Genomic DNA, 14,705 nt, shown 5'->3' with positions numbered 1-14,705 from the left:
ATCACTAAGAGCTGATAGATTGGAATGAAATGGGAGTCAATCATAGTCATTAACAGAAATGAGAAATATTACACTGCCAGCAACAGTGGATGCTTGTCCAAAAAGAGCGATTATTTCTCTCTGAGTAATTTTTTGTTTGTATGCTTTGCAAATAATTTGTCTAAAGCATTCACTATTTTCTTCCTTCCCCTAGTCACTGATTATAAAATCTGAGACTGCTCCAGGCACTGAAACTGCCCACCAGCATAGTGTCTGTGGTACTAAATTTATTACAGCTCAAGGTGCTTAAAATACGAATAAGAAGATTTGTAAAATTTGACTGAGACCTTTAAAAGATCAGAACGATATTCTTTCCTATCTTGAATGTCCTTTATATTTTCTTCCTATTTACAGAATTTATACTTGCAGCATGTTATGAATGCTACACTGATTCTCCCCTGAAAAATACTTTCTCTGACCTTCGAACCTCAAAGCACTTAGTTCTTCCCTTATGATATCATTTAACTATCTTTTTCTTTTAAAACATAGTTCAACAGTTTTATTCCTTCCAAGAGACTGTAACATCTTGAATAGAAGGAGCTGTTCTGCTAATTTTTGTTGCAGTGCTGGGCAAAGAGGAAGTTGTGTAGCTGAGTCATAGGGTTCATAAATGGAACTAGAGGCCCAGAAAGATGGAGTGCTGAAGAGAGGGCTGGTGAAGATTACAAAAGGCCTTTTGTAGCAAAATTAGTTGTTTAAATGTTAACCTCTAAGAAATGGGGAGCCACTGAAAAGTTTGAGGTAGGAAAGTGACATGACACTAACATTTCTGAACGTGCGCTCTGTTCAGAATGTAAAGGACTGAACAAAATGAGCAGGATCAAAAACCAGAATGTGAGTTACAAAGCTATTGTGATTGTCCAGGCAAGAGACAAGAGTCTGAAATAAGGCATATATTTATATATAAACAGGAAAAAATCTTCGTTTAGTACATTGTAGGATTTAATGACATTGGATATAGAAAATGAGGCAGGGGAAGACACTTCTAGCTCATTCCTAGTTTCTGAATGGGGTGATGGGTAATGTCACTCCCTGAGACGGAGAAAACAAAACAGGTTCAAGGAAGAGGAAGCAGAAAGAGATGATATGTGGCAGGTGGGGAGTGATGAGTTCAATTTTAGACATTTAAAAATATTTGATTTTTGGTAATAAGTGTTGGATACATTAGAAATAAAAGAATGAATAAATAATAAATGAATATTGAGACTGTTTTGAAGTTTAAGAAAGAGCCAAGGTTGAAATGGAAACATATTATTAAGAATGTTTATATTTCTTTTCCCAAATGGAACTTATTAACCACTCCTATGGCCGAGTCTGTTGTATGGAAGCAAAACATGTGGTTGAAATTCCACTGACCTTTAGAATATACCCAAGTTTTCATATGATGTTCATTTTCATTCCAAATGGCACAGCACAGCCCTAGGGATTGTTCTTTCTGGAGCATTTGAGCAATAAAGGGAATTTGTGCAGCACTTGCATTTCACATGCGGGTTTCAAGCCAACTTGATTCTAAACACTGCATTAGCCACTTTAAAAATATTTGCATATCTGGGTTTGTCTCTTTGTACCAGTAAGTTTGCAGAGTGATCCTGAAAGATGCTGGAAGGTAAAATCTTTGATCCAGCTCAGTGTTTATCTCTGAGCCTTAGCAGAGGCACCTAGATAAGGCAATGAAAGGGCATCAAGGCTGTTATGTTTAGGAACAAGAAAGCTGATCCAAGAACAGTATCTTATAATTCTACCCAGATCTCAGTCTTTGATAACATAAATATATGCCTAGGCCAACTTTTTTGTTTTTTGTATTTGTTTTTGTTTTGAGACGGAGTCTCGCTCTGTTGCCAGGCTGGAGTGCAGTGGCACGATCTCGGCTCACTGCAACCTCTGCCTCCCGGGTTCAAATGATTCTCCTGCCTCAGCCTTCTGAGTAGCTGGGATTACAGATGTACACCACCACGCCCGGCTAATTTTTATACTTTCAGTAGAGACATGGTTTCACCATGTTGGCCAGGCTGGTCTAGAACTGCCGACCTTGTGATCCGCCTGTCTTGACGTCCCAAAGTGCTGGGATTACAGTCGTGAGCCACTGCGCCTGGCCTAAGCCAACTTTTTAATATGGTCTGTTTGCAGTAGCATAACTTAATGTTGTCCTGATTGCTTCTTTTCATCTGTGATTCTCTGGTGCTTTAGAGAGGGAAATAATGTCCTAAATTGGTGAAGTTGCTATATTTGTGTCCCCTTTGGTATACATACCTGTGGTAGGCTGAAAAATGGCCTCCTAAGGATGCCCACATCCTAATCCCCACAACCTGTAAATATGTCACCTTACATGGTAAAAGCGAGTGTGCTGACACAATTGAGTGAAGAATTTTGAGATGGAGAAATTAGCATAAATTATCTAGATGGGTCCATTGTAATTACAAGGGTCTAATAAGAGGAGCGCAGGTGGATCAGAGGAAGTGTGGGGAAGAAAGCAAGGAGCTGGAGGGATGAGACAAAACAGTCTTGAGCCGAGTAATGCAGGTGGTCTCTAGGAGCTAGAAAATGAAAGAAAACAGATTTCTTGGAGCCTCCAGAACAAATGCAGCAGTCTTGCCAACTGCTTGGTTTCAGACTTCTGATCCACAGAACTGTACAAAAATAAATGTGTTTTCTTTTAAGTGATTAAGTTTGTGGTAAGTTGTTACAGAAGCAATAAGAAGGTAAAAACTACCCCTTGAATCAACATGTAGATAATGCCGAAGCAGGAAGGATCAGTCTAGATGTAAAGTGGAATTTCCCAATTAATTTTAAAGGAACTTCAAACTGTGTATTGACTACAAATGCTGCTATTAGTGCTCTTAAAAAGAATCTCTGGAAGGCTAAGAGCTTGGTCTAGCCTAAACATGAGTTAAAATAGTTGGCCACCAAAAGCAAGCTATTATCACAGCAGCCCCTTGACAAATTGTCTGTTAACAACTTGGTTGGATTTGACTAAAGCATTTGTGGTCTACCTTTAGCTGCTTTATGTATACTAAAACATCAAGGATGCTTCCATGCTCTCAGAATGGTACCTCAATCCACTGGACTTGGTTGAGTTCCCTGCTTAGCTTTCAATTTGTAGGCAGTGTTTTAGAGTATTTATATCATGCAGGGAAAACATGGACATTTATTTATGAATTGTAAGTCCTGGCTTGCACTGTTTATATTCAGAAATCAAAAGTACATCATCTCTGCCAACATGCATTTTTTTTAAATGCCCACGCAGATCCTAGAGAATACTGGCACAAAATTTTTTTAAATTGTGTAAATGTTTTAAGCCTGTAAATTGCATGCCTTGTGTTGTCAAGCAGTGACGGAACACCCATAATACAGGAGAGATGCTGAGCTACATGGCTCAGAACTAACAAGTAGTACACTAGCAATTGCTTTGGTAGTGTACTACTGGCAAAGAGCCTCAGAGAAGAAAGTGTCCATGAGTCATATGATTTTTGGAGGTTTAATGACAACCCGAGAATTATACTGGCATTAGCCTCCAAATTGAGAAGACACCGGAAGAAGGCAGAATTCACATTAGCTTGCATGACTCAGTGTGAAACCTAAATTATGAAAGCATCTGGAAGAAGAAATAAAAACTCTAATGCATACAGTTAGAGGCAAACCTTCATGTATTTGTGGACTCAGTCAACAAGCTCTGCTTGGTGCCTATGGCATACTATTCACTGTGCTTCTTCAGGACAAAATGATCTTTTTCCAACTATTAGTATGAGAGAAAAGTCACACTAAGCTAAGAATTGATAAAGTCATCGCAAGGCTGTTTGTTTTCCACCAAAACCCAGTTACTTATGTGCTTTTCCTTATTTGATTCCCATGGAATATCTGTCACTTCATGTGTCTATTACATTGCAAGTACCTAAAACCCTTCAATTATTGAATCCTGTCACTGAGGGAGAAAGCTAGATATAATTTCAGTGAGTTTTGCTCTATAATGATCTTGAATAAGTGTTGCTCGCTTGATCTACTCAGTAGCTTTCATGTTGATGCTAGTCTTTATTATTAAATTAATTGTTGCATCTATTTTGAAGGAGCACCTACAGAAACACCAACAACACAGATGTCAATAATAACAGACCACATGGTAGAAAGTGTTTACATATCTTCTACCCTTTCAGCCCTAGTAAATTTTACCTTGCACTGAATTATATGTCGAACATTCTCCCTCCTGCTCCAGGTTATAGGAATCTAGATCTAGATGTTTAGTTCTACACTGGCTGTTCTCCCTTAATCATACTTGCTTAAGTTCTAGGGCTGATTCCAGGATTCCAGGAGGATGTAAACTCAAAAGTTTGAGGATGGAACCCCAAGTATTCTATTTGTTTTCCTAAAATTTCCTTGCAGAAGTAAACTAACCCCAAGTATTCTATTTGTTTTCCTAAAATTTCCTCAATCTTCCAGTTTACTTCTGCATATATATTAGCATTCAAGGGGGCCTTCAGATCCTGATTTTAAAAATGCCGCTAGCTTGAGCTGACCGTCTTCTTTTTAGGGCCATCCTTGTACTTTGCTCTCTGTCTCCCTAAAGAATCAGGCATTTGTGAACACATCTATTTCCACACTGGTCTTTGAACACCACAAAGACACTCAGTACGTGGCATAGAAGGAGTCAGTAAGTGTAGCATTTATTTCAACAGTACTGCTGAAAGTAGGTTTTGTCCTTAGTATTAAAATTAGGGTATCATCCTTTTTGGGGTTTCCTCTGTGACACTTGAGTTTGGCATAGAATCACTTTAACATGCCAGCTCTACCAGCGAAAACTCCTTTCATTTCACTCATGTCACTTGTATGGCTTGTAACATTCAGTGTTCTTGGTGTTTGCTAAAAACAATTTTCTATAAAAACTAGAGGTTCAGGGATGGAAGACTGCCATTCACTTAAAATATGCAAATATTATAATAGAAATCATATGACAAGGTTTCTCGGTACCTGAACAATACATGTGTTTTCTGTCATTGTTAAAAATCTGCTATTTACAATAATTTGCCCGGTTTGTGTGTGAACATTATACTTCATTTTTATGAAACTAACAATCTCTGGCAATGAGGACAACTGCTGCATAGAAGTGCAATATTACTCCTACTGTGGCCATTTCTAGGATAAAGAAGTACTTTTGCATGCCCCCACTAGAACATTACTGAGAAGGGAAGGAAAACATTAGCATTCAGGAGAATCTAGGAGAAGCTAAAAGAGACAGCAAACAAGATCTAGGGAGCATTTGGCTGGAAGAAAATGAACACAATGAGCATATGGAAATCAAACTGAAGTTTTGTGCATCTTGTCAGCTATGTGCCAAAAGCTGCAGCAATTCCTTCACACTGCTTAGTAAATGGGCCTGACCATAAGAGAAAATGAAAGATTCAATACTGTGAGGAAGCTCTCTAGACTGTTTTAGGGCCAGTTAATTTCCTAGAGCTAAGCTAGGAGTTTCCTCCCATCCCTTGTTTATACAAATTCCCTCCACCCCCTCAACCCCAAGCATGCTAATATTCATGTTCTGGCATGTGATACCAAATCAAATCCAAAGTTAGCATGCAGGGCTGGAGACGGAGGTGATAGGAGGTTGGATACAGAAATGCCTTTTAAAAATGGAATAAATTATGGATGGTGAACATCCCTAGTATTCTAGTATGTATGTGCTAGATGTAGTGTGTAAAATTTGAACTAGTATTTTTTCCTTTACAGTGTGGGAGTGAGAAAGATCCGTCACGTTCTCAAATTGTATATGTATAGTGAGGACCCATGGGATATTATGGTTGCCTCTGTGGCCAGATTGTTGGAACAAAGTCACCAAGGATGTCTATGAAATTTCTTGATTTCCCCAATAAGTCCCACTGAGAAAGTTTTTGAAGCTCTATTTTCAATGTGGTTGAAATTGACAAATACTCTGTAAAATGGCCACAGAGATAAATTTTTTTCAGAAGAGATAGCAATGCTTTTCCTTAGATTTCTGGCAGCTCTGGAACTTCAGAAACATCACATTATATTGTATTTTGAAATATTTTGAATCACATAAGATGTCATTTACTTTGTTTGGACTTAATATTACTGTCACAGATACTTGAACAAAATGACTGTCTTGCTTAAAATATTCTCTTTACAAAAACCATGTGTTACTCTCATATTTGGTTAAAAAAATTTGTGTCATGAATCCAAAAAGCAACAGCCATGTGTAATTCCATATTTTCTAGAGCAGTTTGTTTAGGGCTGATATTCAGTGTGTTGGCAAAGAGTACTTAAAGATGAACAATGAATAACAGTGGCTTTTAAATGGAGGGTGCACGCGGATATAACACATGTCAGTGCTCCTAAAGTACCTTGTAGATTTTTTTCTATTTTAAATATTTCTCTATTTGCAAAATATTTTTATCCACTTTGACTATATTACTACTTTGCCCTTTTATTTTATAATCCTTCGAAGTTTTATATGCATCATATTGCTTTTCATGGTAGTTTTCCTATAATTGCTAGTGGATGCATTTAGCAATGAATTTCTGGAGATTGAGATTTTAGACACTGCTTTCCAAAGTAACCTAAAAGACTTTGTAGTTTAAGTGGTATGGAATATGTGAAAAATCAGGATAATTGGGAAACAACATAGCAGAGTAAATTTGGGACCTTTCATTCAAATCTTAGTTTTTGTACTTACTAGCTACATAGTAAGTTACTTTGCCAACTTACTTAACTTCTCTATGCTGTAGTTTTCTTCATCTGCAAAATGGGACAATAATAGCATCTACCTCGTAGGGTTGGTATAGGGTGTAGAATACCCTATAGCATAATAGAAGAGATCACTCCATTAACCTTTTGTAATCATCTCATCATATTTGCAATAAACATAGTAGTGTCCCCTATTATAGAAAACAAATTGGAACTCAGAGGGGGGAAGAGACTTTCCCAAGGCTCATTTCAAAACCTGTGTGCCATTCGCCATTATTCAATCACTTGTTTGGTTACCAAGTTTTGGCTGGAGACTCTCCATCCTATAATGAGGATGGCATCCTATATCAGGGAGTAACAAGCGTACCAGTCCTTAGGCTACAATGTTCTGGGAAGGACAGTCAGGAGTACGGGGTATGTTCCTGAAAGACCTCCAGGCCTAAGGAATTTCTAAGTCATAGAAGACAGGCTGTGTTGACCAGTTTGGGTGAGCAGCTCCAACTTGCTACTTATCAGTGGCCGGCTACTACTTTCTTGAAGGCTTTACAAGTCACATCTTCTCACAGTACTTGGTTCTAGCTAAACAAATGAATCAGCAGCTCTGAGGATACACCTCTATTACAACAGGGCTCTCTAATCTATACCTGTACAGATAAATGCCCAGAGAATTCAGAATGCTAGGAATATGGCACGGCAATCCATTCCTGGAGTCACTCCCTTTCCCCTTTTCACAAACACAGAGCAAATAACTTGGAATCAGAAGCCATGGATTCTAGTTTTGAGTCTGTGTCTTATCAGATGTGTGATCTTTCTGAGTCTTAATTTCTCACTTTTAGGCAGAGATAACAATACTATTTCTGTGTTTTTGTCCCCATAGGGTTGCAGAATAGCCAAGTACAATCGTAAGAGAGAAAACATTCCTGTAACTTGCAAAGCGCTATAGATCCTTCTGATCTTCATAGACATGATATTGGCAAGTAAACATACTTCTGGGTACATCATAAAGGCTTTAGGTTTTCCCTTACCTGGCGACAAAATGAAAGTGAAGCCATTTGGCAGATCTGGCCAAAAGCCAGAACTGTGATATGCCCTGTAGGAGCCACTTAGCACTTTAGAATCAACCAAACCAGTTTGGCTTTGAGAGGGCATATAGGATGCTGTTTGGAATTCCATTGTTTATTCAATTAAGCTGAGGGACCTTGCCAGCCATCTTCATTTTCCTCTCTTAGTCTTTTTTTTTTTTCTTTCTCTTCCTTTCTTTGGTCAGCATATTCAGCTAGAGGATGACTAATCTATAAGTTTTCTCAGAGCAAATACCACATGGCTTGTTCTTCTGGAATGTGCTCTAGGTAAAACAATACTTTTCATTGACTATTATATTTGATAACTATCTTCAAAAAAACTCTGTTTATGAAATGTGAAGATAAAAACTTGACGATATTGATTAGATTATCTTGGTTGACTTTCAAAACAAATTGCAAAATAGAATTAGCTTTTCCCTATAATTCCTATCCAGTTGAATTTCATTCATGTGAAACTGATGTTACTATACGTAATAAGTTTTATATGATTAAACCAAATATATTTAAAGGTAAACACTCTATGGAGAATTGAGAGGCCTCAAAAATGAATTAAATCTTGGCTAGGTTGAAAGTTACGTTTGAACATGTGTTAATGAAACCATTTCTATTCAACTTAAGAATTCTGGGGGGAAGCAGGGTGTATCAGAATGGGAGGTTAGTACTCAAACTTAGAAGTCAACTTTTCATATTGACCTAAAAGAGATGCTGTCATTAGGTTGCTATTGCCACTGAGTATCTGCCAGAGAAAATATGTAAACTGAATGTTACATTCCTTGAGGTGTGAGTAATTCTATGAGCAGGATTAAGATTTTTTCATGAGAACTATCAGAAACTGTTCTCATAGTTGTTGCAAGGAAAAGGCATTAGTATGATACAGTGACAATCTAATACAGAGGAGGTGTGCAATAAATATTTGCTTGAATGAATGAACCCTAATTTGGCTCATGATTTCTAAACTGTGCACAAGTTTCAGTAATGTGGAGGTTTATATAAATATGTCTTTGATGAAAGTGTATGAAAATTGTACAGCCATTAGCTTTAACCACCCCTGGGATAAATTTATCCCTGGAGTAGGAAAGGCGGAGAGAGTGTGAAGGTTGAAAGATTGGAAAGGGCACAGGAGAGGCATACTAGTGGGATAATAAGATGCAGGGAGCTTGTTTTGACCGCTGCCTGCAGCAATTTTCACTTGCCTAGGGCACCCCGTCACTGCGTGGTGGACAGTAGCTAAAATAGGAATTCTGTCGGCCTTGGCAGCTGTAACACCAGCATCTGCATCTTGCATTAACTGCACATTTATGAATGATGTCAGGGTGGATCTGAGCCAGGCAGCAGCAGGAGAAGCTTTCAGTTGCTTCAACTTTGCTCCCACCTCCGTGTTAGGACCATCCAAGTCTTGTCAGCAGCAATGATTGCTCACTGATGCTGCAAGCGTGGAAGACAGGCAGTTGGCAATCTCAGTCCCCAGACAGGCACAACAGCTGGTATCAGGCACCTGAGAGGGAATGCGATCCTGGTGGGTTTTGGAGGTGTTTATGTCATCTTCCAAGCTGTCTGAGAGCTTGGTGGGTTTGTGTATACATGATCAGATGCAAATAGTCCCCAGTGAGCATAGCTTGTTTTCCCAAAATTTTACTGCACTGCACACAAGGACAAGCCGAAGGAACTGTGTTAATAATCTAGTGGTGAGAGCCACCTAAAATAAGAGGAAGCCATTACAGCCAGGCAGACTGTCATCAGCATTATATTCACTCAGGGAGCCAATGCTGTCCGATAATGAATGACCTCATCCACGTGATCAAAAATAAACAACAGCAGCTCTTCAGCAGGTGAACTTCCCTTCTGGTGGCTGTTTATTATTCTGAATTAGAGTCAACACTTTTACCTCTGGGAAAAAAAAAAACAGTAAACAGTGTTTACTCTTCCCCAGAACTCTAATGCTATCTAAAATTCACCTAGAATATATGTTTTAGTGACTCAGATTAAAATCTCCAGGTTACTAGTGTAAATGCATTATCTGATTACTATGAAATAAACAAAAGCTCTGTGATTGTGTATGTGCTAGTTGTCAGGCACAGAGCTGAGTCTCGTACATGCTAATTGTCTTAGTCCCAGTTTTAGAGATGGGAAAACCATGGTTCGTTGGGGTTGAGTGATTGCCCAAGGTCCTACCTAACGTGTGGCAGAGCGAGAATGCAAAATGAAAACTACCCTAGCCCAAACTCAAGTCTTCATCACACTGCATGCTGCCATTTTCATCCATGCACTACCCAAACAATTATTTCTAGGCTTCCATTACAAATTTTAAGTTCATTCAATCATTTCTTTGACAAATGTTTGAGTTCCTATTCTATGCCCAGAAGCATGCTAATCAATGACACAAGACTGCATGGAGCAATGAGGCAGCTCTAATGACAATGGGATTAGGAGTCCACAGATTAGCAGAAAAGGACATATGTCTAGTGTTTCAGCCTGATGTAGAAACAGCTAAATGTCACTCAGATAATAAAGAAGTCAGACTTTTTTTTTTTCCATTTGGGTGGTACCAAGATGAAAAACAAAATGAGACAATTAAAAGGGATGAAGAATAAACTATATAAAAAGCCCAATGATCCTGACTGGGGATAGCTGAATAGAGGACATAATGCTCTTCATCCCAGCCCAGATAATCATCTCTTACAGCATCCTACCATTTTGTGCCAAAGTTATCTCTGGAGTTGGTATAAGCAAAACAGCCTGCATATTATTAGCTGAAGAACCAGTCTTTTGTGATCTTATCCTTTCCAAGTATTAACAATTAACTAGCATGTCTCAAGAAAAAAAGTGCACCTGGGCTGGAAGAAGAAAAGCTAAACTTAGAGATATTAAAGGGCTAAAATAAAGTGCAATAAATGGAGATTAATTGACTGCTTTGCATGTGTTGCCTGAAGAAGAGCTTTGGTCTGACTCTGTCACTGATGAAAGACAGAACATTTTGACACTCTTAAGGGCATATATTACCATGAAATCTGTCCCAAGTCCCTTTTGTCTTGCTTTCTGATGTATTGTTTACGGATGCTAGGCATTTTAATAGAAAAGCCGTCTGCTATTTACCACACATTTCTCAGAGAACAAATTAATTTCTCTGGGATTCCTCTAATTCAGATGAGGTCTGCATTCTTCTCATGTAAATCTTAGTAAGAATGCACTGTTCATTAGCATTGAATAACATGGAACTTTGGAAATAAAAGCCTTCCATCCTGGTGCAGAAGATGTTGGTTATAGGCCAGAGTTAAAGATATCAACTCCTTGGTATATAACCGCTGTATGCAAGGAGAAACCACATCTAATGGAAAAGCTAGTGTCTTGTTTTCAAGCAGCATTGCACAGTGGCTCACAGAAGGGCATGGGCATCATATTTCCAGGGTCTAGTTCTTGCTTCGGAATTTGCTATCTGCAGAACCTTGCCTATGTTGCCTAACTCTTCTGAGCTTCAGTGTCCTCAATTTTAAAATGGGGTGCTCTGTTAATAGGTTATTTTGAAGTTTAAGAAAGATTAATGCACATGAAGATTCCATAAAATACTCGATAAAAGTTAAATATTTTTAATGGTGCAATCTATTATCTTCTTTCTGAGGATTTCATTTAAAACTCAGTTTTCCAGTGCAAAGGGCTTATGCAGGGACTGAGAACTTAGCAGATGTAAGTTCTATTCAATAACCATTAGAAATTATTCACTATTTTACATGGGCCTCTCACCAAACAAATATTAACACTTTCAGGGTGATAATCAATTCCAACTAGGTTTTCTTGGGAAGGATATGGTAGGTTCATCAATTTTATATGTTGTTCCTTTAGCTAATTTGTCTCATGTTTTTAAGTTTTCTGTGATTTTTACCAATACAAAACACACCCAAACAAGCCCCATGCAGCATTAAAAATATATTCAAGATTAAAATTATTCTTTACTTTAAAAAATTATTTTAGTGGTAAAATTTAAACTGCTTTAATTTGTTTAATACAATGTATTTTCCAGTATCAGTGATGCTTGTGAGCTGTAATTTATTTTAAAGGAAGATAAAACAGTCTGTTCCAGGAAAGTTCGTGTCTTTGTTGAAATATTAGCTGTTAAAAGTTTATGCAATCTAATTACAAATTGCCTATCAATAAGAAGCAGCACATCAACAGAAAACAGAATACAAATCAAAATCTCAGCTTGGATTAACTACTATACAAGGTCAGGTTAACGTTGTTTTTCAATAACAAAGTTTCTGGATAAGTACGGAAATTTTAGCTTCTCAGTTTAGTGGTTCAGAATAACTAGTCACACAGTAACAGACCTAAAAGGTCTCTTATTTGCATTTATTTTTTTCCAAATTAATACAAGCTACACACAGGATTTTAGCTAGCAGTGATAACTATACTGACAGTCAACTAATGACAGCATTTATTTTGCATTTGCATTTTGATTGTGGCAAATTTTGGAAAAAGGAATGAAATCGTGAAAAGTGTTATCAAAGTAATTTTATAAACTTTTCTGTGATTGAATCGAACATTTTTAGGGAATAAATCGTTTCCCTTGATGCCAATTGGGTTATGCGTTGTTGCTCCTCTGAGTTGATTTACATCCCCTTTGCAATGTTGTCAAGTGTCTGTTCCCATTCTTAATCAAGTGCAGTAGTCTCCAAACAAATCAGAGGCAGTGTGGCATCCGAGGAGAGCACCATCACGTTGCCTTTTAAAAATGTAATTGATTATATAGTTGCTTAATTTTATGAGGCAGCATTGCAGCAGGTATCACTAGATATGAAGCCAGATATCCATTCATGCAAGGAAGATCTATAGATGCAATTTAAAAGTGCTCATTTTAGAAATTATGAGGGTTTTTCCCCAATAGAGGTTTTAATGTGAGTTTTGCAAAAAGGCTAGACAGCTAATTCGTCTCTCAAACAACACTGAGAACTGTGGATTTCTGAAAGAAGTGACCCCAGATTCACTCACTTAACCACTTCTAGCTCTTAAGTAACTTAAAATTGACAAAGTACGGTATCAAAATGTGAACAGTAGCAGATAGTAAGATATTTTATGAATGAACTTGGGAGAAGGTAGAAAAAATATTCCATTAGAACATCTTCTCCTTTAGCAAAATTATACTGTTTATTATACTAAATTATATATTTTATATATACTATAATGTACTAAATAATATATACTAAACATGTATACTAATTAATATACAAAAATTATACTATAAACTTGGAGAATCTGTTTGCATTCTTATTTGCGTCTATGTTGCAGTAGTTGTCCAATAAAAAATATTTGCTTTAGTTAGAAAATTTTTATCCAGGGTATTTTTTTACCCACAGCACTTGAAGCCACGAAGTTACTTGCTCAACACATTTTTGTTGAATGGATTGAATCAGAGACATTTGTAACATGATAATATTCATTTGACCTGCATAACATAGGCCAAGCATCCCACTGATTTTCTACTCATACAAGCAGCCAACTGTGCTCACCTATAGTGTGTAGGAGACTGTCTATGTACATGTCTATTCAGTGTGGTAATTTGGTAGAGTGATAGCAGCTTCCAGGTCTGTGAGTGAATGAACAGTTCATGAAGAGCCATTTAGCGGTTGTCAATGAATAGTGCTCAGTCTGTCTCTCAGTCTCTTATTTTGTCTGTCACAGTCATGCCGACACTAGGATACATGCTTGTCACATTGTTTACCATGACTCCTCACAATTTCCAAGCATAATCATCCCATCTCCTATAGTACTCTCATGAAAAATGTCAAATACACATGTCCCATAGAGGAGACTGGAGAAGCAGAAAACTGCTTGGGAGAATGAGCATGTGTGATGATATACATATTTTCTTAGTGTCTGGTTTAAAATCTTACACGTGGCAAGCCCACCAAAAAAAAAAAAAAAAGGCCACTATCCTTTGGAAGCAATTTGCTTATTTTTGGTCACTTTGTTTGGTTTTATGGATTGGCTTAATGGGTTCACTAATAAATCCATGCAGAATAATTTGAAAGTATGAACAAATAAAAAAGGCCTGAATATATTTGTTCATTTATTCCATTCATTCATACATTTTTGTGACAGATTACAATGTTATATAATTATGTGGTACGCATAATGTTATGATGTATGTATACAATGTGGAATGAGTGAATCAAGGTAATTGACATGTTCTCCACCTTAAATATTTATTTATCCTGTCTAACTTTAACTTTGTACCCTTTGGCCAACATCTCCTCATTTCTCTCATCCCCAGCCTCTAGTAACCACCATTCCACTCTCTCTCATCCCCAGCCTCTAGTAACCACCATTCCACTCTCTGCTTCTATGAATTTGATTGTTATAGATTTTGCATATAAAAGAGAACATGCCTTTTTTTTTTCGTCTTTTTGTGTCTGACTGATTTTACTTGGCATAATGTCTTCCAGCTTCATCCATGTTGCCACATGTGACATAATTATTCACAAAAGCCATGATATGGAATCAGTGAAGTGTCCATCAATGGATGAATGGATCGAGAAAATGTGGTATATTTAATTCACTTTTATTGAGTCCTTATGAAATAGCAAGCATTCTCCTGGATGCTAGGGATCCAGAGACATTTATGCTCTGTCTTCCAAGAACTTACAAACTATTGGGGTAGGGGTGAGTGGACACACGAGGTTTGACAGTGTAGAGTATATCTAAGAGGGACAACTAACCCAGATTATGGGAGAGAGGGATGGGGGAAATCTTGTAAGTCTTTTGGAAGAATGAGCCCCGAGGTAATTAAAAGGATGAATAGAAGTTAGCTTTGTAAAGTGTGTGTGCGTGTGTGTGTGTGTGTGTGTGTGTAGGAAATAATTTTGGGGTGGGTGGTGAGAGGCATTATTGTACAGAGACGACAAG

General features: G+C 37.6%; 1 protein-coding gene across 3 annotated transcripts in view; it reads right to left on the bottom strand.

Moving 5' to 3' along the window:
* The window catches only part of VWC2L (von Willebrand factor C domain containing 2 like), a 167,923-nt gene that overhangs the window by 27,350 nt on the left and 125,868 nt on the right, over nt 1-14,705 (bottom strand). The window lies entirely within an intron of this gene.

Source organism: Homo sapiens, chromosome 2, assembly GCF_000001405.40.
Source record: "Homo sapiens chromosome 2, GRCh38.p14 Primary Assembly".
Taxonomy (NCBI): domain Eukaryota; kingdom Metazoa; phylum Chordata; class Mammalia; order Primates; family Hominidae; genus Homo; species Homo sapiens.
Note: the sequence above shows the minus strand (reverse complement) of the source record. Positions and strands in the feature narration are given on the sequence as shown.